The 26,084-nt window shown below is 34.5% G+C and overlaps 1 protein-coding gene across 5 annotated transcripts in view, besides 2 other annotated features; it reads left to right on the top strand.

Annotated features, from left to right (window-relative positions):
• PPP1R12A (protein phosphatase 1 regulatory subunit 12A) overlaps positions 1 to 26,084 on the top strand; it is a 161,898-nt gene that overhangs the window by 126,356 nt on the left and 9,458 nt on the right. For 3 of the 5 annotated variants that reach the window (NM_001143885.2, NM_002480.3, NM_001143886.2), the window contains 12 exons: positions 528 to 622; positions 1,775 to 1,879; positions 2,772 to 2,939; positions 3,337 to 3,513; positions 10,521 to 10,611; positions 11,710 to 11,910; positions 12,155 to 12,323; positions 13,346 to 13,467; positions 15,177 to 15,242; positions 18,622 to 18,638; positions 20,322 to 20,457; positions 22,627 to 22,731. In NM_001143885.2, coding sequence (NP_001137357.1) covers positions 528 to 622; positions 1,775 to 1,879; positions 2,772 to 2,939; positions 3,337 to 3,513; positions 10,521 to 10,611; positions 11,710 to 11,910; positions 12,155 to 12,323; positions 13,346 to 13,467; positions 15,177 to 15,242; positions 18,622 to 18,638; positions 20,322 to 20,457; positions 22,627 to 22,731 — 1,452 coding nt within the window. The remainder of the gene's footprint in view (positions 1 to 527; positions 623 to 1,774; positions 1,880 to 2,771; positions 2,940 to 3,336; positions 3,514 to 10,520; positions 10,612 to 11,709; positions 11,911 to 12,154; positions 12,324 to 13,345; positions 13,468 to 15,176; positions 15,243 to 18,621; positions 18,639 to 20,321; positions 20,458 to 22,626; positions 22,732 to 26,084) is intronic. The other 2 variants (NM_001244992.1, NM_001244990.2) reach the window with 2 other exon arrangements.
• Positions 23,736 to 24,327: an enhancer, noted in NCBI's record as "NANOG-H3K27ac-H3K4me1 hESC enhancer chr12:80178558-80179149 (GRCh37/hg19 assembly coordinates)". NCBI's record gives its function as "activates a minimal SCP1, AML or CMV promoter by ChIP-STARR-seq in primed H9 embryonic stem cells {active_cell/tissue: H9 hESC(primed)}" and the evidence as "EXISTENCE:reporter gene assay evidence [ECO:0000049][PMID:30033119]".
• Positions 24,328 to 24,920: an enhancer, noted in NCBI's record as "NANOG-H3K27ac-H3K4me1 hESC enhancer chr12:80177965-80178557 (GRCh37/hg19 assembly coordinates)". NCBI's record gives its function as "activates a minimal SCP1, AML or CMV promoter by ChIP-STARR-seq in primed H9 embryonic stem cells {active_cell/tissue: H9 hESC(primed)}" and the evidence as "EXISTENCE:reporter gene assay evidence [ECO:0000049][PMID:30033119]".

Here is a 26,084-nt window from a genome sequence, read left to right as displayed (position 1 = left end):
TTATGCCAGCTTACTAGGAATGTATCAGAGTGTCATTGTCACTACACACTCTTAGCCATATTTGGATAAATATAATTTAAATAATATTTGTTTTGACTATTTTGATGTATTTGAGAGCATTGATTATCAAGGTTCTAAATAGCTTATATAATATAAATGCTTGAGACCTCTCAGTGAACAATATTTGAAAGTTTATTTCTCTGGAAGAAATAAAGATATTTCAGCTTATGACACAGTATTAATCTGTTAGAGAAGTTTTAGAAAAAGTCATTAAAATCTGGAGAAATTTTTTTCCTTTCTTAGTAAAATATTATCTGATTCCAGGCTAAAAGAGAAAGAAAACTAATTTGAACAGGCTGATTATTGATTGACATTAATTTTAGAGTTCAGCTAGGAATTGTTGAAATACTGTAAACTATGATAGCTATGTAATTATAATTATTGAATAACCTTTTCTTAATACTTTTAGCATTGCCTATAGTCAGTACCCAAATTAATTTTTACTTATTTTTTTCCCTGTTGTGTAGGAGAAAGATAGTAAAGGAACTAGGCTTGCATATGTTGCACCTACAATACCAAGACGACTAGCCAGTACATCTGACATTGAAGAGAAAGAAAACAGGTGAGTTTATTTTGATTTGCTTTATGCATTCACTATAAAATCTTTATTATCTAGCATTAGAGTTAATACATGAGCATTGTAATTATGTGCGGATATGTATTGTGGGAAGAGATGGAGGATATTCCTGAAGGAGAAAATACCAGGTACATAGTCCTGAGGAGGTGCAGGCTTGGTATGTTCATGAAATAATAGCAAAGAAGATGTGGCTGGAACAGAGTAAGGGGAAAGTGGGAGGAGATAAGGTCATGAACTAGTATGAGTTCTCTAAATATTTGGAACATTTAGGAAAGGGGAAAGAAGAAGGAAAGCCCTTACTTAATCATTTTAGTTTGTTTTAAATATTTTTGTTTAAATATTGTTTAAATATTTTAGTTTCTTCCTGTTTTTCAGCTTATAGAATTTTATTTTTTTAATTTAATTATTTTTATTTTTATTTTTATTTTTTTTGAGACAGAGTCTCGCTCTGTCACCCACGCTGGAGTGCAGTGGCGCAATCTCGGCTCACTGCAACCTCCACCTCTCAGGTTCAAGTAGTTCTCTGCCTCAGCCTCTCAAGTGGCTGGGATTACAGGCACCTGCCACCCTGCTCAGCTAATTTTTTTATTTTTAGTAGAGACAGGGTTTCACCATCTTGGCCAGGCTGGTCTTGAACTCTTGACCTTGTGATCCACCTGTCTCGGCCTCTCAAAGTGCTGGGTTACAGGTGTGAACCACTGCACCCGGCCAATAACTTTTTAATATACTTTTAATCATGTTATAATATCTAATTTTTTTATTTTTTTCCCCTAAGATCTCATAAGCAGTCTTCTATGTTAATATATATTTTTAATAAGCATTTTTTTTGTCGGCACATAACATACTATAAAGTAGATCTTCTGCGGTTAAAGTAAGCATCTCCCCTACTTTATATTTTGTGATCAAAAAGCATATTTCTATAAATATCTGAATTTTCCCCCATACTTAGGGGAAAAATTATACCTTAGGGTATATAATCTTAGTACTGAAATTACTTTATCTTCTTGATTAGTATTCCTAAGTGTCCTCCCAAAGGTTTTTACTAGTTTCAGCTTATACTAATATTTACTAGTGTACCGCTTTCTTAATCCTATTTTAAAATTATGTACCAGAATCTGAAGGGTGTTCTTTTAACAGAGATTCTTCAAGTTTGCGAACAAGTAGTTCATATACAAGGAGAAAATGGGAAGATGATCTTAAAAAAAATAGCTCAGTTAATGAAGGATCAACGTATCATAAAAGGTAATAATACTATTCTTAAGCGGTTTTTATGTATTCATTTATAAAAATATGAGGCAATTTGTTTGGAGCCCTCAGTTTAACATCATTTTAAACAAATATGTGTTTTTATTAAATACGAGTTTTTGTTGTTTAAAACTTACTCTAAACACAGGATATATATTTAAAGATAGGTGATAATTTGTTATGCCTATTATATAATTAAGCTTCAAATATTATGAAATGTTTTTTGGATTGTTACATATTTAAAAGGAACTCCTTTAGAAGGAACTCCTTGACTAGAACAACTTAAACAGGCCAGTGTCTTAATGGATCTAGTTGTCATTGTTGATCTGGAAAGATTTGGCTTGCCCTAGAACTCAGAGCTATGGAAATGCCTTCAGTTGGAATGTTGGTAGTATCATATTGAAGAGGAAAAAAAAGCCCTATAAACAATTTCTTTACTAAAAGCAACCAAAAAGAATAAGATGTGAACAAGTATCATGTAGGCATTGGTTACTTCCGAGGTATCTGACCCATTGCTGAAATAATTTCCTTCAAAAAAATGTCAACGTCTTGTTTTCCCTGGGTAATACAAAACCAAAGTGTGTTTTTCAGGCTCAGCCTGGCATGACCATATGGTGTGGAATAGTTTCAAAAATATGAAATATCAGATCATCTTTGTCTTGTTGAGAAAGTTGGGAGGAGGCACTAAAATGATACACTACCGAATTAAGTGAAATCTTCTAAACTCTAGCAAGTTGTAGATGCAACTCTTGGTGCTGGAGCTGGTGGTGTATTTAGGAACACAGTTTTTAAATTTTTTTTCTAGCCTTGTAATTTATATAATGTATAGACATTAACTATAGAATACACATACAAACACATCCTATATAGATATGACTCTTTTGTTTAGTTGCTCCTTTGGTAGAAGACAAGATGATTTGATTAGTTCTAGTGTTCCAAGCACCACATCAACACCAACAGTTACCTCTGCAGCTGGGCTTCAGAAAAGCCTGCTTTCCAGCACAAGCACTACTACAAAGATTACAACGGGTTCTTCCTCAGCAGGCACACAAAGCAGGTAAGTCACAGATACATTTTGTGCTCAGGTCTACTGTGTGCTTATGTATGTGCATGCGTTTTTGTTTAGAAGATTGTGGGGCTCTGGATTTTTTCATTTATCTTGTTAAATTTATTTGCAGACAAAAATTGGTTCCAAAATGAGGCAATTATGCATGTCTGGGGGAAATTTTAAGTTCCTGAACTATGAACTTTCCTTGAATTAGACTGCTTAAAATGTAAATTTCTCTCTTTGACAACTCTGGGTGAGCTTTTTGGTTCATAATTTAAGGATGTCTCACCTTGCGTTTTAAAAAAATCCATCCCTGTAGTCATGTGTTTTCAGCTGCTAGAAAGTGCTTTCATTGTTTAGCTGTTTTCCTTTTCTCTTTTTTGTGTTGCTGCTTATGATGCTATAGTACCTCAAATCGTTTGTGGGCTGAGGATAGTACTGAGAAAGAAAAGGACAGTGTTCCTACGGCAGTGACCATTCCTGTTGCTCCAACTGTTGTAAATGCTGCAGCTTCTACCACAACCCTGACTACAACTACTGCTGGCACTGTCTCCTCCACAACAGAGGTCAGGGAGAGACGCAGGTGTGTAAAGGTCATAACAGTACTGCTGATATATCTTGCCCAGTGATGAAAGTTGTTTTTTGTTTTAAAAAAGATCTTGTGAGGTTGATGGCCATCTCTCCAGTAGACTAATAAATGAAATACCCTGTCAGCTCAGAACTATGTAAATTTATACAACTAGCAATTATTTATATTTAGGCTTTGCGACTCACCTCTGACAGAATTAATGTTTTTTTGTTTAAAGTCAGTGAGCAAGACAGTTGTTTTCTTAAACATTTTAGTTTCTAAGGTGGTTTATTTCAAAAAAAATTTTTTGATGAAGAACTGAAAACACCACACACTTAGGGAAAATTAGATGCAACATGACAAAAACAGGTTTTATCATTCTTCTCATTGTTTCCTCCCATTATTAAGAAATTTGAAGGATGTTGAACTGTTTTGTTCCTGTTGATTTGGAGAATTTCTTCTCTTGGTAAGGAAAGACTTCTGTGCATAAGTGTAAGCCAAATAATTTTGAGTATGTTGAATACATTCATTTAATTTTATCTCTGATACATAGAAAGCACTTATTCAGATTTTTTCAAAGAGTCTGAATTTATTTTGTGTGCTTAAATATTTTTAAAAGATTGCTCACTTCTTTCTGTTGCTGCCTACTGGCATGGAATCATAGATGTACAAAGGAGCTTACTAACTATCTTTTGGGATTTCCTTGCTTTACCGAAGGAAACTGAGACCCAGAGATAATATGTGACTATTTTACTTTTGTATGCTTTATTGGTGTGAGGGCTGAGGCTAGCCCCAAGATTGCAGGAAAAGTAGTTCAGTTCTTTCTGCTATATTATGCATAGTCCCTAGCTTTTTTTTTCCTCTTGAAAAAAAATAAAACCTTAGGAAACCAAATGTGAGCTTTATTTTTATATTTTATTCTTGCAAAATTAAATGAACTATGTAACTAATTTTTTTTTTTACTAAAATACTGACCAGATTAACTTTGTTTTATTTCTGTCACGTAGTACTTACATACAGAGTTCTTTTTCTCTGTTGCCTACTGAAGTGCCTGGCCTGTAGTAGTAATGGCCTCACAGTAATATTTGTGTTTGAATATATGAAAAGTAATAAGTTAGTGTTAACTTTTTTTTCTATCATTGCATCTTTAGTTTTTGCCTATATTTAGGTTTTGTTTCTATTTCTATGGTGAAATTTAGTGGTACTTTTATAATGCCACTGCAAGTGGTTAGTATTTTGTGATTTGAGTACCAGTATAGGTCATATTATATTTTAATTATCTTCCCCTTTTTCCTATAAACTTAAGTCAGTTTTAGGTTGTTGTAGTGCTTCTCAGTAAGACCACAGAGCCAACAGAAATTAGTATCCATCATTTAATCAAACTTAAATAAGTTTGAGGGCTTTGCTTTTTTTGGTGGTGGGGTTGGGAGGGGTTATTGAAAGGAAGAAGGATCAGAAGTTCTTGGTTTCTTACTCCTTACTCTGCCTTGATTCTTAAGGTTAGAATTATCTTTGAGTCAGAAACTCTTCTGTTAAATGAGGTGTTTGATTTATATTATTTTTAACTTCTAGAATCTTTTCTATCTCTAGCATAGAGATTCAGTGCTTTTGAAAATTTCTCCAGTGACAAAACCTAATAAATGTCTCCCCAGAATCATCAGTTGTTTCAGAACAAATTATGATTCTTAACCCACAGATTGTTTATTCTGCTAAAGAGAATTGAGTTTTGACTTTTAGAATTAGTCCTAATTAGTTTTAATGGAAGACATTGAAGATTGAAAATTAAACGCTTGGATATATTTTTAAACAAACAGATTCTAATTGCATAAGAAAAAAATGTGGCAACATTTTTTCTCGTCTATATTATAGAGGTTTTTTGTTTGTCTTAACCTTGTTTCAATGATGTTTGCAGTGATATTGTTTGTGTTTTGTTCCATGTGAAATAATTGTTTGCAATCTTGAATACATTGTTGGCCTCTTCTCTTTGTCTTTTATTTAAATTTCGTCAGTGGTTCTGAAATGTATATGATTTAAAATTTGCCTAAAAAATGTATATATGTTGATTTGAGAATATACTGTGGCTAAAACAAAAAAAGTCAACACAGGTATACCCTTTGGGTTGCTCAGAAAATGGTAAGCATCTAAGGAATAAAATTATATACCCTATATAGTTCTAAGAAAGAGATGCAGTAGGTCAGTGTGATACAGCAATGATAAAGGCAACTATGGGGTTTGGTGGGTATATTCTACCATCTTTTAATGATCAGCTCTTTGCAATTAAAAGTACATAAAATATATAAATTATTTTTCTTCTCTATGTCGTATTCTTAGAGGTCTCCTCTAGATAGGTACCCCAAAGGAGGAGAAAGGAACTGAATATTAGGTGGTAATTATCAAATAAAGGAAATGTGTTTATATTACAAATTGATAAGCTATATTTTTATGCTAATTTGGGATGAATGTCATATGGAAAATTAAAATTATCTGCAGGTGCAGATTTTATGTATTTCAGTTAGTAACTTTTATCCCCCTAACCTTCATATGTGAAACCAGGTATGATAGATTTATTGACTTTCATGGCAATTTGAAACTATTGAAAAGGAATCCAGGCTCATAGGGAGAGAGTGTAGTGGTTGATAGTACTATTTGCCATGGTACTAAAAAAGAGCCAAGTGTCAATGCAAGTTTCTCTGTTATACACTAAATATGAAACATTTCACTGTAGTCAAATTTGACAGTAGTTCACGTTCATATTTAGTTTCAGAGCAGCTCATGAAATGCTAAAGTGATAGCATGCACCCTATCTGTCTTGCTATGAACTTTTTTTTTCCAAGACAGGATCTCTGTCACCCAGGCTGTAGTGTGGTGGTGTGATGATAGCTTCTGCAGCCATGACCTCCTGGGCTCAAGCGATCCTCTCACCTCAGCCTCCTGAGTAGCTAGGACTACAGGTGTGCCATCACACCCAGCTAATTTTTTAAATTTTTGTAGAGATGGAGTCTTGCTATGTTGCCTAGGCTGGTCTCAAACTCCTGGCCACAAGCAGTCTTCCCACCTTGACCTCCCAGCGTGCTGGAATACAGGCATGAGCAACTGTACCCAGCCTGCTATAAGCTTTGTTTAACCAGATTAACGATCACATTTAGGTTTCATCTCCTTTTATTTTTTCTTCTCTTCCTTTGGTAGAAGTCCAAAAAGTAATAACTTGCATAGGGCCAGTAGGTACATAAATTAAATGAATGAATGGAAAAAATAGCCATTGGACATTTTCCAGGCTGATGTTCTTAGGAGCACTTTTCTATATTTACTGAATATGCCACAAAATGGGTCAGGGGTGGAGGATTCTCTATTTAAATGGTCTTGGGAAGTACTGAGTTAAGCCAAGTTAATATAGGTTATATCTCTGATTGTATCACAGACCTTTCAATATTTTATTGTGATTTTCCTAGAGAAGGTTAGAATGTATAGCATTTCCCTAATTTATGCAATCATTTTCTATAACAAGCCCCTCTTATATCCCAGAATTAATGTTTCTTAAATTTTAATAACAAGATTATTAGTTATTCTCTTATTCCTTTTGAATTACTTGTCCCAGGAAACTCACTATAATAATTATAAAAACATAGTATCTGTTATATCTAAATAAAATTAAAGTCAAAGTATAATAGTGATGGAATTTTCATCTTAATATAAGTATGTTGGATGTCCCATTCAAGTAAAACTCCCTCTTGTAAATTTCTTGACTTAGCTACAAATGTAATTATGTGGAAACAGCAAGAAGAACCAGTTTTCTGAACTAATTTTAAGCAATAAGTAAGAGTTAATTGATGAAATTGAGGCAACTAAGATCTTGCGTGAGAAATTACCTGGTCATCTTAGGGTTAATTGTCTAAGGAGGTGAATGCTAAGAATAGTGTCATATATTCTAGTTTTAGAGAAACAGATTCCAAAAATTTCAGGGTTGTAGAAAGAAATATGATTTCCTTATATATATAAAAAGAATGAGGGCTCTCTAAAAGGAGTTTTGAAAAAATGGTAGATGATTCTAAGGATGTTTGAAGATACGCTATACTCGCTGAACTGAGAGCTTTAAAGGACACAGAGAAAAGGCATAAAACTGACAGTAAATTCAGAGGTTTGTTATGATTGTATGAATAGTGTTAGGCTAAAAAAATGAATTACAAATTGAGAAGAATGTTAAAGCTAACAAAAGAAAGAGGCTTTTTTTTTTTTTTTTTTTTTTTTTTTTTTTTTTTTTTTTGAGACAGAGTTTTGCTCTAGTTGCCCAGGCTGGAGTGCAATGGCGCAATCTCAGCTCACTGCAATCTCCACCTCCCAGGTTCAAGCAGTTCTCCTGCCTCAGCCTCCTGAGTAGCTAGGATTACAGGCATGCGCCACCACGCCCGGCTAATTTTGTATTTTTAATAGAGATGGGGTTTCTCCATGTTGGTCAGGCTGGTCTCAAACTCCTGACCTCAGGTGATCCGCCTGCCTCGGCCTCCCAAACTACTGGGATTACAGGCATGAGCCACCGCGCCCAGCCAAGAAAGAGCCTTTTTTAAAAGTAGCATTTGAGCTGGGCACAGTGGCTCATGCCTGTAATCCCAGCACTTTGGGAGGCTGAGGTGGGCGGATCACGAGGTCAGAAGATCAAGACCATCCTGGCTAACAGGGTGAAACCCCGTCTCTACTAAAAATACAAAAAATTAGCCAGGCGTGGTGGCAGACGCCTGTAGTCTCAACTACTCGGGAGGCTGAGGCAGGAGAATGGTGTGAACCCAGGAGGCAAAGCTTGCAGTGAGCCAAGATCGCGCCACTGCACTCTAGCCTGGGCGACAGAGCGAGACTCCGTTTCAAAAAAAAAAAAAAAAAAGTAGCATTTGAATAAAGAAAACTCACTAGATCATTGCCTGGGGTTTTGAGAGGGAGATACATGGAGTAAACTTAATAAATTTAAACAGCATAGAAGATAGAGATACAGTTGACCCTTGAACAATGCAAGGGTTAGGGGTGCTGACTCCCTGTGCAGTCAAAAATTTGCGTAAAACTTTTGAGTCCCCCTAATCTAAATTAATAGCCTACCATTGACTGCCAGCCTTACCAATAACATAAGCAGTTGATTAGCACATATATTGTATGTTACATATATTATGTACTGTATTCTTACTATAAAGCTAGCTAGAGAAAAGAATGTTATTAAGATAATCATAAGGAAGAAAATTGTATTTACTACTCATTAAGTGGAAGTGGGCCATCATAAAGGTCAGAATTCTCTTCGTCTTCACACTGAGGAGGAAGAGGAGGGATTGGTCTTGCTATCTCAGAGGTGGTGGAGGTGGAAGGAGGCAGAAGAGGCAGGCACACTTGGTGTAACTTTCATATAAGTGGACCTGCACAGTTCAAACTTGTGTTGTTCAGCAGTCAACTGTACTCTGGTTCTATAAGTGTTCTCTGAGAAATGTGAGCTAGGTGGTGTAATTTGATGAAGCGTTAATGATTGAACTTCCCAAGAAATATTGATTATCAGAGGAAAGTCTTTATGTTGTGTTGCAGGGCTCTGTCATATCTTTGCTTGTTTGACTCTTTAATTATTTAACTTTTTTTTTTGAGTCTCAATTCTGTCACCCACGCTGCGGGGTGGTACAATCTCAGCTCACTGCAGCCTTGATCTCCAGGCTCAGGTGATCCTCTCATCTCAGCCTCCCGAGTAACTGGGAGTACAGGCATGTGCCACATGCCTGGCTAATTTTTCTATTTTTTTGTAGCGACAGGTTTCCTCATGTTTCCCAGGCTGGGCTCGAATTCCTGGGCTCAAGCAATCAGCCTGCTTCAGCCTTCCAATGTGCTGGAATTACAGGCATGACCCACCACACCCAGCCCTACTTAACTTTTGACACAGATTACTTGCTATTGAAAAGGTGCATACCCCGTGACAAGAGGAAACATAGGCTTAAATTTATAAGAAGAAATTTAGTGAGGATAAATGCCAAGTCCTGTTCTTTATATCAGAAAATCAGTTACTTAGAAGTAACATGCTGATTTAAAAGCTGTTTATATATAAAAAAACACTGGAATTTTTTAGAGCACTCAAAAGTATGAACAATAATATGTTGTCTGACGTGTCATTAGTAAGAGCACACTGACAAGAATGCAGGGAGACCGGGCGCGGTGGCCCACGCCTTTAATCCCAACACCCTCTGAGGTCGAGACAGGCAGATCACTTGAGGTCAGGAGTTCGAGACCAGCCTGGCCAACATGGATGAAACCCCATCTCCACTAAAAATAAAAAAATTAGTCGGGCGTGGTGGTATGTGCAGGTAGTCCCAGCTACTCAGGAGGCTGAGGTGAGAGAATCACTTGAACCCGGGAGGCAGAGGTTACAGTGAGCTGAGATCGCGCCACTGCACTCCAGCCTGGGCGACAGAGCGAGACTTTGTCTCAAAAAAAAACAAAACAAACAAAAAAAAGATTTAGAAAGGAATTTGATACCTGTCTTCCAATATTTGAAAATACTGTAGGTAGAGAATAATTTAAAACCCCTTTTAGTAGGTCATTAAGTAAGATGCTTAGATTATCACTTTTGGGGGATGTTTTCAGGGCTGGAGAAGAGGACCTTCCTCAGTTAAAAACAGACAAAAAATTTACTCCTTATCCATTCTGCTTAATTGGGCTAAATGAAATCCTTCTATTTTTTTCAATAGAGCTAAAATTTTTAATCTTCAGTTCTCTAAATCCTTTTTAAAAATGTGGTTCCATCTTAAAATTAAATTACATTATTTTAAAAAATGTAGTTAGGAAGTTAAAATGTGATGTTAAAATATAATTATTAAAATATAACTAGTTCCAATCTAAAAAGAAATTATAAGATTGCATTATTGAATTTCAAAGACCATTTTCTGAAGACTTTTCCTTAAAACTTACTAAGATATTAAACCTGTATGTTTTATTCATATGCATTGATAGATATTTACATTCACAGGTATTGTATTTACAACTAACGATTTTTCAATTTACTACTGTAGATCATACCTCACTCCTGTTAGGGATGAAGAGTCTGAATCCCAAAGAAAAGCAAGATCTAGACAAGCAAGACAATCTAGAAGATCAACACAGGTATAGTTAATGTAATTAATATATAAAACTTACATAAGTAGCATATAAAATATATATACACACACTGACATAAAACAAGTTACCTTTCTCTTTTTCACTTTGTTGTGAAAATATTGATGTCAGTATATAGTGTGAGTAAATCCTTAAAAGGTAAAGGTTGCTGTAGTTATTCTAGTAATTCTAGTGTGAATAAATCCTTAAAAGGTAAAGGTTGCTCATAGCCTTTTGTATGGTTACACTGCTACTATTGTATTTCATCTAATTAGCATATGCCTTTGTGTCTTTTTGAGTATTTTTTAAATCCTTATTCCTAATACAGTGTCTGGCCCAGAGTATTTGGTTAGAATAAATTAATCATATGATGTCTAATAAGTATTTAAAAGTTCTATGAATATTTGGAAATCGGGGGCAGAGAATAGGCTCGTATATTAGGTATAAACAACTAATATGCAAGTATGAAGAAAATGTCATTCAGGCTGGCGATCTCCTTACCTCCGTTTTGCCATTCTGATTATGCTGTATATGATGTATACTTTTGTGTCTTTCTGCTTTCCCACAGTTAAGAAGCTCCACAGTCCAGATTCAGCTGTCTATCCTTACCATTACTTAGCTTTCAAGCTGAACTATTTGCTAGGGCCTTAATATACTTTTTCTGTCTTTATACTTTTCACTTCTTGAAATCTAACCTGTTCTTCAAGGTCAAATCTTGAAAAATTTATCGAAATCTCTTTTAAGCCTTAACAATCATCATGCATGTGTATATAGATACATATACACACATATATATACACACACACAGACATATATATAAACATAAATATTTATAATATACAAACAGTACAGATACTGGCTATTCTTCTCTAGTTTGAACTTGTGGGGAACATTTATATGCATAGAGTATCCAGTACCTATCGTTGTGCTTGCTAATGGTGATTCTTCATAGAATGAATGTAACTTGCTGTTTCCATTTGCAAACCAATTTTAAACATGCATATTTGACTTTTAATGCATTTGTATGTAATATATCTATTTCTAAAATATTCCTTGAAACAAGCTTTAATGCATCTCATAATTATATTGATCTTTTTGTGTGTGCAGGGAGTGACATTAACTGATCTTCAAGAAGCTGAGAAAACAATAGGAAGAAGTCGTTCTACCCGAACCAGAGAACAAGAAAATGAAGAAAAAGAAAAAGAGGAAAAAGAGAAACAAGATAAAGAGAAACAAGAAGAAAAGAAGGAGTCAGAAACATCTAGAGAAGATGAATATAAACAAAAGTACTCCAGAACGTATGATGAGGTAACAGTATATCAAAAGCACATTTAAGTCAAATGGTATGAATAGTCCTTATGATCCTTAACATACAAGAGATTTATATACCAACAAACCATATGCAAAATACTGTAAAGGATTTTAGCTGGAAATTTGAATTACTTTGGCGTGATTAGTATACTACTTTTTCTTTGAAATGAATTTTTAAGTATTTTTATGTTTTTAATTGTGTTTAATGTTTCAAATGGGTTTTGATCTTAATGTTTCACAGACTTACCAGCGTTATAGGCCAGTATCAACTTCAAGTTCAACCACTCCATCCTCTTCACTTTCTACTATGAGCAGTTCACTGTATGCTTCAAGTCAACTAAACAGGCCAAATAGTCTTGTAGGCATAACTTCTGCTTACTCCAGAGGAATAACAAAAGAAAATGAAAGAGGTAAGAATACCAAATTTTGAAAACACTTTGCTTTCTTCATATAATCCTTTGGATTAGGGTTTCCTAAATAATAATTCAACAGTAAAGGAACAGCATCCTAACTTGTGATTCATCGAACCTAAACAGAAAGAATATGAAGGTTGAGAATGAGAAAAGTAGAAAACAGAAATAGAATATGGCCTGCTGTTGATACTAATATTTTTATAACCTAATACTTCACAAAAATCTTCATGTCCACCTACAACGAAAAGTTAATATCGAACTGGTGGGTGACTATTTCTAGAAGCAGTTTACTAGTGTAGTACTTCTCAGATGCTTTAAGCTATTTCTTGCCTACTGTGTAGATCATATCATTTAAATGTTTTTTTGTGAAATTGTTGTAAACTAAAATTACTAACTACATGTAATGCTCTCACTAAAACACATTTTTATGCTTATTTCTTAAAAAATACATTTCTTTCTCAACTATATATTGGCATATTGATACTCATTACCATTTCCTATTATTTTATATAAACTTTCTATTTAAATTCTGAGTAATTCCTACTTTAAATCAGATATAAGTACTAAATATAGGCATTTCATATTTTAAAGCCTAAATCTTACAGTATTAGTCATGATAATATCAGTAGTAATGTAGAATAAACAGCAGAAAATAAAGTTTTTTCCCAATTTCCAGCTATATATTTTCTCATGTTGATCATTGAGATGTTTCAGTTCTTTAAACTTCTATGTGTGAGGCCTGCATTGTGTTTGTAAAAATGTTGAACCAACATTTAAAATTAGAGATACTCACTTCAAACTTCAGATTTTTGCCATTTCTTGAAAAGTTGGCTGACCTGGCAACACTGGATCTGAATTCTCACATACCAACAATTGGCTGGAGCTAAGTAGTAGCAGCTGCCTACCTTCCATCCCCCTAGATAGTCCCCTGGCCCATTTTACCCATTGTTTTTACAATTACCTTGCAAAATATTGTCAAGATATATTGCTATATTGTGGTTCATTGCAATCCTTAACAGAGGGAGAAAAAAGAGAAGAGGAGAAAGAAGGAGAAGATAAATCACAACCTAAATCAATCAGAGAACGACGACGACCAAGAGAGAAAAGAAGATCTACAGGAGTTTCATTTTGGACACAAGATGTGAGAACCTATTAAAATACATTATTTGATAGTATTCTTGATAGTATTCTTAATGTGTCCAAAAATACATACTAATAATTTCTTATATGCCTTAGATTTCATATTCCTTAAATCATCACTGTGTTTTCTGAGTTGTTAAATAAGAAAAATTATTTTTAAGGATAGTTAACTACTTAGATTGTTGGTACTACTTAAAAGGAGTGGTTCTGACCTAATTATGGAATAGAAATAATAATGTCTGAAGCTCAGAGTGCATGTATTGATTATTTTATAATAGGTAAACTGCTTCTTGTAAAAACATCTTTTAAGAATTTCTAAGGAGTCTATTTAATTTCATTTTCATAAATATCATTATAAGATCTACATTACAGATTACTTCCATCTCAAAGCATGCTAAATAGACACAGTGCTTTGCTTATCAAATTACAACAGTCTTGTAAAAATTAGTGTTTTCCTGGTCCTTGATTGTAGGCCTGACATTGCTATTCATTGATTTTGTTTCCATTTTCTAAAAAATAAACCTTTTATTGAAGTATGGCATGTTTAGAAACATAATTCATACATGTATAGCTTAATGGATTAGCACAATAGGAGCATATCTATGTAATCACCACTCAGAATGATGAATAAAAACAGCAGTGTAGATTGCCCCCATGTTCTCCCTCTCAATCCCTATCATCCTCATTTTCAAAGTCAGCTAGTATCCTGATTTCTAACACCGTAGTTAACTATGCCTGTTTTTGAAGAGCATATGACTAGAACTATAAATTTTATAACTGTTATGTTTATAAGATATATCTATGCTATTTTATGTAGCAGTACATTTACTTCTATTGTTATAAAAATATTTTTTAAAGAAAATTTCTAACTATTCTTTCACTGAAAGAACATGGAATCATCTGTCTTCCTGTTAAACTGACCCATCTCTCACTATATGTTCCTCTTTATCTCTAATATTATATCTGACCTTAAATTCTGCTTTTTTGAAAAGCTTCCTTTTGATTATCTTTGTATAATATATCTTTTCTGTTATTTTCAATTTATTTGTGTTTTTTTTAATAAACAACATATTTAGGTCAACTTTTTTCTGAACTTTTTTTTAATTGCAGTGTTTCAGTCCATTTTAATTTTACTTAATTACTAATTACTTAATTACATGAAACAAATAACATTGTCATTTGCAGTTTAAAATATATAAAGAGCTAAGGCATATGAAAACAATAGCACAAAAATATGGGAAAGTATTAAATGGAGTTGAAGAGTTTTAGTATCTTCGCATTGTCCATGCTGTGGACAAAATATATATTCAACTTGATGAATCAAGAGTGCATATGTCTATTTAAAAAAGTTTAAAAAGAGAGGGAAAATCATACATAAATGACAAAGAAGGGAAGAACAGATGGGGAAATCGGAAAATAGTTTTCTATTTTTCTTTTGATTTTTAATATAGAAAAGTTAAACATATACTTTATAGAAGTAACATAATAGTATAATGAGCCCTACCCCCAGTATTCATTTTTTCAGCTAAATTCCCACTCCATCTCCCAACTCCCATATTATTTAGAAGAAAATCCTAGACATCTCATTCTATCTACAAATGTCTCAATGTATATTCTGAGAGAGAAGGACTCCCAAAAATAATTTTAAAAAATAAATTTTGAAATTATTACTAAAATTTCCTAAAATATAAATTGGCAATCTGTTTTTAGAGTGATGAAAATGAACAAGAACAACAATCAGACACAGAAGAGGGATCCAATAAGAAAGAAACTCAGGTAAATACCATTACTTTTTGTATTGAGAAGTATTCATATTTTTTAATAATTACTTTTAAATTGCGTTTTATTATGTTTATTCATGCAAAGCAGTTATTGCATACTCTACCTACATGCTGGGTATGCAATATCAGTGTTTGCCTGGGGATCAGGATTAAAAGGACTGGGAAGGGTCACAAAATAATGTTTTGGAGGTGATGAAAATGTTCTGAGTCTTGATCCTAGCAGTGGTTTTATGGATATACAGAACTGCCAAAACTCACCAAATTGTACACTCTAAGTGGATGTAATTTAATGTATGTCATTTAACCTTCGGAGTTAAAAGAAAAAGCAAAAAAAGAAATAGTACCCTTGGCCAAAGGAAAATATCTAAAGGATAATCAGAAGTAGTGGAAATCCAGAAGTAGTAGGCTCAGATTTTATTTCTGTAGATTTTATTTCAAAGTTATGTTCTGGAGAATATAGGCATCTTTTAACTTTCTTTTACATATATTTAGAAATTTAGAGTCTCCAACAGATTTTTATGTTGAGAATCTAAAAGACATTTTTTTCCTCTCAGTACTGATGAAGGACCTAAAGCAAGTTTGAATGACAAGGCTGCACAGCCAGCAAGGGTTGAAAGTTCCCCCGACCCCCTTCCTGATTGTTTGGCTGTGTAGAAAGCTAAAAAATATTCAAAATATTTCTGTTCATATGAGGATAGAGCTGAACAACACGAGTCTAAACCTGGCACTGTCTAGCATGAAATAGCATTCTGGTCATATTAATATTATTTTCTTCATTTTGAGTTGAAGTTCCTTAATAGAGCTATTACATTTCTTTTTAGTCAGCAAGGATCTACAGTAATGTGAACAAAAGTTGGTTACCTGTGCTAGGTGACGGTGAACATTATTTTAGGGCCAAGTTTGCCTATTTTGACCCCACAATTTTATTTTATCTTTAGGTGGCCAGACAATGAGGAGTGAATTGGTTCTGAGGTTAAATTATTTGCAGGCCTAAAGCTTTAACTGTTACCTAAATTTTTTGGTTATCAGTTATCAGAACTCCCCAATTTACCTATGTCCCTTCTTTATTAAACAAGAGGGGAGGAAATTAGTAAACCATCCCCATCTGACACCTCTCATTGCCTTATCACGCAGACTCCAGCCCCCACCAGGCTGGAGTGGAAGGGAGATTGTCTGGCTTTTAAAGTTGTAATTTTGAAGCATATTGATGTATACTGTATTTTAAGTTTTACTGTTAAAATCATATGAGATACGTTAAGATGAAGAGGAACATTGTTTCTAAGACGAAAAGTTTTTTTATTTTCAATTTAAGTAGTTTTTGTTTACTTTAGATTGTTTAGAGTTCTTTTAAAGTAATGAATAACATATAAATAAATATAACAAATATAAATAACAATATGAAACCTAAGTCAAACTGGATTAAACAAAGAAAATGTATTGTACTCCAGTTATATTCTGCAGTCCTTTGTGTCAGCTTCATCCTCAGGCTGATGTACCTCATAGGGATAGGATTATAGTTGGCTTAGGATAGACAGGGCCTATCACTGAACTGTTGCAGCCATTTTGCTACCAACATGGGCCATGTGTCATCTCACCTAAACCTAGTAACTGCTATACCATGAGAAAAAGGAAGAATGGATGTAGATAAATAAATAAGGTGCAATGTATGTGCATAGATCAATATTTTCTATATTCACATAGATATTATGTGTCCAGAAAAGGTTGGTTAGATAACAGTGGTTATCTAGAGAATGGAGGGATGAGGAATTACACAGGAACTTTGTATACCATTATGTGAACTTTACAATACCATAGTCAGAAAGATATTTCTGAATATCTTTCTATATATTTTAATCTTTTTTATCTTTAAAAAGATATTTTTACTTTGGAAAATTAATCTTAAAATTTGGGGAACAAGGGCGTTATGCTAAATGAAATAAGCAAGTTACAAAAAGACAAGAACTGTGTGATTCCACTTATTTTATTTGGGTATCATAGAAACAGAAAGTAGAACCTTTGTTGCCAGAGCTAGGAAGAGGAGGACAAAGGAAGTTGTTCATTGGATATAGAGTTTTATTTTTGCAAGATGAAAAAGTTCTAGCGATCTTTTGCACAACAATATGAATATAATTAAAAATACTGAACTATATACTCTAAAAAATGGTTTACATGGTAAATTTTATATTACGTGGTTTTTACCACAATTCTTAAAAGTTTTTAAATAATGCTAGGCCGGGCATGGTGGCTCACACCTATAAGCCCAACACTCTGGGAGGCTGAGGTGGGAGGACTGCTTGAGCCCAGGAGTTCAAGACCAACCTGGGCAACATAGGGAGACACTGTCTCCACAGTAAATTTAAGAAATTAGTCGGATGTGATGGTGCATGCCTGTAGTCCCAGCTAACTAGGAGGCTGAGGCAGAAGGATCAGTTGGGCCAGGAGGTCGAGGCTGTAGTGAGCTGTGATCATATCACTGCACTCCAGCCTGGGAAACAGAGCGACACCTCATCTCAAAAATAGTAATAATAATCAGTGATAACACCATGATTTTTAAAGATAATGGAATTTGAGTGATTTCTCACTAGACTTTTTATTGTTAAAATTTAAATCAGTGAATGTAAGTGCAGACTATAAGGTAAGATGTATTATTTTTGTTTGATATGTAGACATTTTAGTTCAGGAATGGCCATTTTACTGAATTTGATTATCTTGAAAATTGAAATTTATTCTTTAAAATTGTTAGTTGTTGTTAAACCAAAGAATAAATCAATAAAAGAAAACATTACCTTAAAAAACAATGTAAGGAGCAAAGTTAAAATTGGTTTTGCAGAGGAAATTTACAGACTTTAGTAAAACATTTTTAGTCCAAAATAGACTTTAAACAATCCCAAAAGTAACCTAGTAATTTTACAGTATCTCCAAAGATAAATATAATGGGAAATCACTAATATTTAAATTAAGAAGTTTAACAAACCATTCTGAATAAATTATAGAATCAGTGAGTATTTCAATAGAAAAAGAAAAGGCTAAATTTGACTACTGAAAAAGACTACTTTGGCCCCCAGTAAGACTGTTTTACCTTATTAATCATTTCACGATTTAGATAAGACTTTCTGGAACTTCAGTGTAGCATACCACTTGCTTGAGAAAATTAAATTTCCTGTCACCTAATTGCTGACCTTAAAGGTATATAGCTAGATTTCGAGAAAGTAAATTTTAAACAAAATATGTATATACTGTTATGCATAAAGAACCTTAGGTGTTCATTCGTTTGCTTCTATTGATACTACATTAAATTTACTTATAATCATAGGTTAATAGTTTAATGAAAGCATAAAAATTTAGTATGCCTATGTTTTTCTCTTTCTTTCCAGACGGATTCCATTTCTAGGTATGTTTTATTTATTTTTTAACTGACATTTTTTTCTTATTTTTATCTTTGTTAAAAATGTGTTGCTAGGAATTTATGGATTTTGTAAGTTTATAGAATTATTTGATAATAAAAAACAAATTTTGATGGCCTTATCATTGTTACTAGCTTTCTTTGTTAAAGGCTTTACTTCAAGATCACTAGTCAGAGCAAGTAAGATTTTTCCCCAAATCTCTACAACAAAGGTATTCCAAAGTTTCTTAAGTTAGTTCAACTATCTCATTATTAACATCAGGGACTGATAAAACCCACACTTGGCCAGAAATGTATTTGATTAAGTATTCAGAATCTTCTCTTGTAGCCCTGCTTTAGACAAAAGAGAACCAGTGAAGACACTTTTAAAAAAGTGTCATCTAGCTCAACCCTTAATCCTAGCACTTGGGGAGGCTGAGGCAGGAGCATCACTTGAGTCCAGGAGTTGAAGACCAGCATGGACAACATCAAGACTCCATCTCTACCAAAAAAAAAAAAAATTTCTTAATTATCCAGGCATAACTGTATGCTCCTCTATTTCTAGCTGCTGGGGAGGCTGAGTCAGAAGGATCACTTGAGCTCCCAGGAGCTCAAGGTTATAGTGAGCTATGGTTGTGCCACTGCACTCCTCACTGGATACAGTGAGACCCTGTGTCTTTAAAAAAAAAAAAAAAAAGTGTCACCTAATTCAAAATTATCCATCTTTTCAGAGAACCTCCACTATATCCTTGATTTTGATCTCCATTCCATTTCTCTTATCATTGTTAACCACAGCCCTGTAAGACCAGTAATAAATTTCTGTCTACTGATGATTCTATTGAATTGAAATGCAGAGCCAATGGCATCTTTCAGAAAAGGTAACCTGAATTTCAGAACCAGATAATAAGAGAATTCTCCTTTACCAGTAAGATATGTTTTTCCTGCTTAGGACAAACCCATTACTTGTCACTTTGGATATACTTTATTTCATCAAATCTAAGACATTACTCATTTTAAAACACCATTGTGTTACCTACTACTGAAAAAAAGGAAAGGTGCTACCAATTAAACTATAATGCATCATCAATTGTAAGCCATTTTCTGGTTTTGGAAATATTAAAATGTGGGAGGAAGTGTACAATTTAAAATATTAATCATTATATGAAACCAGTTTTGGCTTTTAAACATGGAAATTTTGACTCTCTTCCTCAATTAATGGAAATTAGTAGTATTAAAAAAATAGGCTGGGTGCAGTGGCTCATTCCTGTAGTCTCCCAGCACTTTGGGAGGCTGAGGCATGTGAATTGCTTGAGCCCAGGAGTTCAAGACCAGCCTGGGCAACATGGTGAAACCCCATCCCTACCAAAAGTACAGAATTAGGCATGGTGGCATATGCCTGTAGTCCCAGCAACCCAGGAGGCTGAGGTAGAAGAATCACTTGAGCCCGAGAAGTCGAGTCTGCAGTGACCTGAGATCATGCCACTGCACTCCAAGCTGGGCAGCAGAGTGAGACCCTATCTAAAAAAATAAAATAACTTCCCACTTATTATATATCACAAAAATTAATCAGATAACAGAGGGAGACTGTGACCTACTCTTTTGAACTGTCAAGTTATATGTGTACTAGGATGTATGTTGTTATAATTGTAAAAGCCTATAACAAGGTTTTTTATTTAAATTAATCTTTTGAAGATATGAAACCAGTTCTACATCAGCTGGTGATCGATATGATTCCTTGCTGGGTCGCTCTGGATCATACAGTTACTTAGAAGAAAGAAAACCTTACAGCAGCAGGCTAGAAAAGGATGACTCAACTGACTTTAAAAAGGTACTTGGGTTATTTAGTTATATTTAATAAAAAGTTATCTTTTATGTTGAGATACTCATTCAAATATTATTTTAAAAACTCATAATGAAATGAGTATTTTGAAATAACTTATTTTCAGTTTTCGGCAAGTGATGGTTAAGTAGAATGTAAATAGCTGTTTGTTTATTAAAGGGAAGAGAAAGTCATCCAAGATGATTTTACATTTAAGTATCTCAAGTCATTGCTATGATTGAGCTGGAAAGGAGCGTTCAATAAATGGGTGCACACAAATGTATACACACTTTGTTTCTTGTTACTAGGAAGCAGCCAAACAGAGAAGATGGCTTTTCCTAAGATAATATATTGGTAGTTTTTCATAGGTAACTGAAAAACTTGGGGCAGCTCAAGTGCTATTAAGGATTGAAGTAATTAATGAATAAATCGCAGAAACTATATCTTCTTATTTTGTGCTTATAGTAAACATAAAGTCTGTTGGAGAAGGAGAAAGCTTATGGCATTTGTACATGTCCCCAGTTATCTGGCAGCTATTTGAATTACATACTTTTTTAAAAGCCAAGTTAGGGGAACGGGTGAGGGAGAGAATCATTTTACATTATGAGTAAGATTCATCATTTATTCAATAAAGAACTGAACTATGCTAAGTAGAGAGATTCTACTCATGGGTAAATGGAGATGAAGATACTATCTTGCTCTTGTGGGCATTTTCCATGTAGTGGAGAGAGACCTTATTACACAGTCATACTAATGACTGTATAATAAATAATGGAGACAGTTAACTTGAAGTAGAAAAGCAATTTTATAAAAGTATATAACAAAAGAAAGTAGATTGATTTCCTTGGCTGGGTGCAGTGGCTCACGCCTGTAATCCCAGCACTTTGGGAGGCTGTGGCAGGCCATCACCTGAGGTCGGGAGTTCGAGACCAGCCTGACCAACATGAAGAAACCTCGTCTCTACCAAAAATACAAAATTACCCCAGGTGTGGTGGCGCATGCCTATAATCCCAGCTACTCGGGAGGCTGAGGCAGGAGAATCACATGAACCCAGGAGGCAGAGGTTGCAGTGAGCTGAGAACACGCCATTGCACTCCAGCCTGGGCAACAAGAGGAAAACTGTTATCTCAAAAAAAAAGAAAGTGGATTGATTTCCAAAGGAAGTGTGGTTTCAGCCAAAAACGGAAGGATTACTAATAGTTAACGGGCAAAAATGGGTGAGAAAATTATTCCAAATAGAGTGGAATTACAAGCACATAGACCTGGTGGGGGGAGAATACATGATGCATTGGAATAAATAAATTTTAATTATAGCTAGTAGAGTGGAAGAAATATTCATTTGAGGCAGCAGTTGTATAGGCTGAGACCAGATCATGCAGTGCCTTATAGGCCATTGTAAGATTTTTCGTATGCTAAGAACACTGGGAAGCCATTCAAGAGTTTTTAATTTGTGGGTGGAAATGGAATGGTTGGCCTATGAAAATTATGAGATTTTCATTTTGAAAAGTTAATTTTAGCTCCTATATATAAAACAGATTAGAGGGTGATCAGGGAATTAGAATAGTTTAGATAAGAGATGATCATAGCCAGAATTATGGTGGAAGTAGTAAAGCAGGGATAAGGAAGAAGGAGTGTTAAGAAAGACGAAAAGCATTAGAAAAGGGGAAGGTCTTGGATTTTATCCTGGATTTGAAATATTTCAGGAAATACGTCATTTGCCTTTTAACTTTACTATAAGCAATGTAGAAGTATAATGATAAATACAGCTGGTACTCCGTCTCATTTTTGGGAATGCAAGAGAGAGTGATGGGCAGAAAATCTCACGGACTCCAAATAAAGATCACAGTGACTCCTTAGCCCTAGCTGCAGTTGCTGTGCAGGTATGTGGTCCCTCTTTATCAGATAACTGAATCTTTTTTAAGATAACCTGAAAAGTCCAATTTTTCTGTGAAGTCTTGATTTTTGAATACTGGAACTAATTTTAAGACTTTATATGGGACAAACACACTTGCATAACGAACAGTCTCTGCTTTGCAACCATGAAGGATTTTTTAAATGTATCCTTTATAGCTCATATGCTACATTAAGCTGTTTTAATATTGCAAAGTAATCAATGAGAAATTTTAAAGTAATAGGAGAGCAGAAAAGTAATTTGTTCTTTTACCCTAATTTTTATAGCTTTATGAACAAATTCTAGCTGAAAATGAAAAGCTGAAGGCACAGCTACATGATACAAATATGGAACTAACAGATCTTAAATTACAGTTGGAAAAGGCCACCCAGGTTTGTACCCTTTTCTTTTTGTTACTCTCAAGGTAATGGTTGTGATTTATCCCATCTAAAAATGGTATTAAAATTTTTTCTAATACTCTAAATAGAAGTTTGATAATTGGTAATAGAAGATAATGCTGTTTATGGATGATTTACTTTTTCTGGAGTAAATTTAAAAAATAGTCATAGTCAAAAGTCAACTTATAAAAAGCCTTTTAATACCAATGTTGTGGTATGTCAAGGTTTTAAATGTTTATTTCCAGAATACCAAATGTAGCAAGTCATTAAAACATTAAAAGCATCTATACAGAATCATCTTATAGCCATATAAAAAATTTTATAATAGTTTTTGTTTACTACAAATATTTTATGTTTGTTCAAGTAAAGGTTATTTTATATTATAGTGCTGGAAGAAGATAATTTTAATCATAACTCCTTTTGTAAGTTCCTTCTATGCAGCAGTCTAGAGAAGATAAATTTGGACAATAAAATTGGGATGGCCAAGCAAAACTCACAACCTTGTACATATGATCTAGCAATTGTTTCCCAAGCCACTTTTCCATTTCCATGGAACATTAGTTCTGGGAGACAGGAATAGGTACATCTTCTCCTCATTTCCCTCCTTTCAAAAAACAAAAAAAAAGCTTTGTGATCAAAGAAACTAGGGAAATACTACATATTTTACATGTTAAAGACTTTACAGGGTCTATTTATATGCTAAAGGCTCTAAGGCATCCTGTAATTTTTAAGAAAACAAATGTGTTCAATTTTAACCTGGGACTTTCTAGCATAAACGTATTTCTGCAGCACAACTCTTAGAATCCAGCTGAAAGCATGGATCTAAAAACAGCATATCCAGATCTGTGAATGGGACTATGTACTTTTTTTGGTCAGTCTTTACACTCATCTTTTTCTTAATTTTTAAAAATTAATTCTAAAAAAACAACAACAAAACAAAAACCAAAAAAGTTCATTCTGTTTGTTGAACTTAAACTTGTTACCAGATCCTTTTTTTAACCATTGTTGTGTTGTAAAGCGATTGTCTGTGCACGGTAGCTACTATGCCAAACTTCTAGGGTTCAGGCTAACCTCACCACTCCTCAAATTCCTTCATGTTAATGGAGGTTTTTGTAAAGATAAACAGAAAAGTAAAACAGAACAAGAATAGGTTTCATAGTGAGATGTCATAAAAACTTACAGTGTCATACACATTAAAACTACTACTTATATTTAGGCTTCATGGTAAACTGGAATGTTTAGCAGAAAAGTTAACAGTAAAAATACCTAAACTGATGTTGCTGTTTTTTAATCAGTGAACTTGTCATCATCCTTCAGGTTGCATTAGTATCTTAGTGAGCCTGTATACATAAAAATATAATGAGTTCTCTGAGCATAGCTTCAGCTCTAGGGATTTCATTATAATGTTCTAAGTAAAGATGTCCACTGCAGCCAGGCGCGGTGGCTCACGCCTGTAATTCCAGCACTTTGGGAGTCCAAGGTGGGCGGATCACCTGAGGTCACGAGCTCGAGACCAGCCTGGCCAACATAGTGAAACCTCATCTCTACTAAAAATACAGAAAAAATAGCTGGGTGTGGTGGTGGGCGCCTGTAGTCCCAGCTACTTGGGAGCTGAGGCAGGAGAATTGCTTGAACCCGGGAGGTGGAGGTTGCAGTAAGCCAAGATCGTGCCACTGCAACTCCAGCCTGGGTGACAGAGCAAGACTCCATCTCAAATAAATAAATAAATAAATATCCACTGCTCCCTACTATAGTGTTCTGTCATGGTGACTCAGCTCATCTGTGTCTCCGCTACTTAATGCCTTCTCTGTGTTCTGCTCTGCTGCCTACTTCATTGTCATGTAATTCTTCCTGTATGTCTCTCAGTCAAACCCTGCAAGAGAGGGGAATTGATAGAATTAGCCTGTTACTACCCAGTATGGAGCAGCCTGTTTTGTTAGTGACCATTTCATAGGTCACTGGACAGAAAGTTGCCTGTGGGTCAGGTACCAATTTCTGTTACCTGGCAAGAGAAGTAGGATTAAAAAATATCCCAGCTTCTGCCTTGGCAGGTACTCTGAGTATCGCATCCAGTATGCTGAGTTAATAATGAGAAGTATAATTCATAAAAGTAAAACTGATAAGCATTAAAGTAACTTTAATCAGGGGTTCAACTTTCAGGTATTTATCCTGAATCTACTGTGAACTTTTCCACCTTTTTTTTTTGGCATTGATTGACTTCATAACTATTCACAAATACACAAATATTTGCGTCAGATATTTGCCACAAATAGCAGTGGCAGTTTTGATAGTTGCATGAAATTAATCTTGAAGTTTAGGTCTGTTTGATACTATTTAGCCAAGAGACTCTGGAATCCTTGACTCTTGCCCTAGCCCAGGTACCCTCCTTCCCATATCATCTCCAAGGAAGGGAAAAAATATGCCAGCTTACCAGAACCAGTTTGCTGAATACCACTTTGCCAAATGACCATTTCACCAGATTTAACCATTGTGATTTTAACAGCTTTAACTGGAATGTTTAACAAGAAAGTTAACTAAGTAAAAATACTATCTAAACTGATGTTAATGTTTTCTAATCAATGAAATTGGCAAACCACATATAATTGCTAAAATCTTCCCATATGAAAAAATCTCCAGTGAAATGCTATTTTTCCATGTTTTGTTAATTTACATGTGTTGTTATTATTTTGGCTATTTGATTTTTTTCAGGTGCTTTTGAATGTTATTTAAAATTTTTTTGGTCTTGTAAAGAGTTTCTATGATTTATTTTTAAATCCTCACGTGGTGTATCAGCCTTTGTTTTATATTTCTAGCAATTAAATGTTTAAATTCAAAACCAAAAATAAATGAGAATTAACTAAGCAGTCTTATTCATATTTGAATTATTATTTTTTTTAATGGATACAGCATCTCGCTGTGTCACTCAAGCTGGAGTGCAGTGGTACAGTCAGGGCTCACTGCAGCCTCAATATCCCTGGCTCAAGCAATCATCCCACCTTAGCCTCCCAGGTAGTTAGGACTACAGGCAATGCCACCACACCTGTTTAATTTTCCTTTTTTTTTTTTTTTTTTGGTAGAGACGGGGTTTCACCGTGTTGCCCAGGCTGGTCTTGAACTCCTGGGCTCAAGTGATCTGCCCATCTCAGCCTCACAAAGTGTTAGAATTACAGGTGTAAGCCACTACACCCAGCCTCATATTTGAAATTCTGAACTGAATTTCTCACAAGAACCAATTGGAATATTGACTTTTATGTTTCCAGAAAGAGTAAGCACAAAAGCTTGAAGCCATTTTAAAATAAGAGAAAAAGTAAGAAAACCTAGCCATGATTAGTTCTTTAAATGTTACA

Source organism: Homo sapiens, chromosome 12, assembly GCF_000001405.40.
Source record: "Homo sapiens chromosome 12, GRCh38.p14 Primary Assembly".
In the NCBI taxonomy this organism is placed as follows: Eukaryota; Metazoa; Chordata; class Mammalia; order Primates; family Hominidae; genus Homo; species Homo sapiens.
Note: the sequence above shows the minus strand (reverse complement) of the source record. Positions and strands in the feature narration are given on the sequence as shown.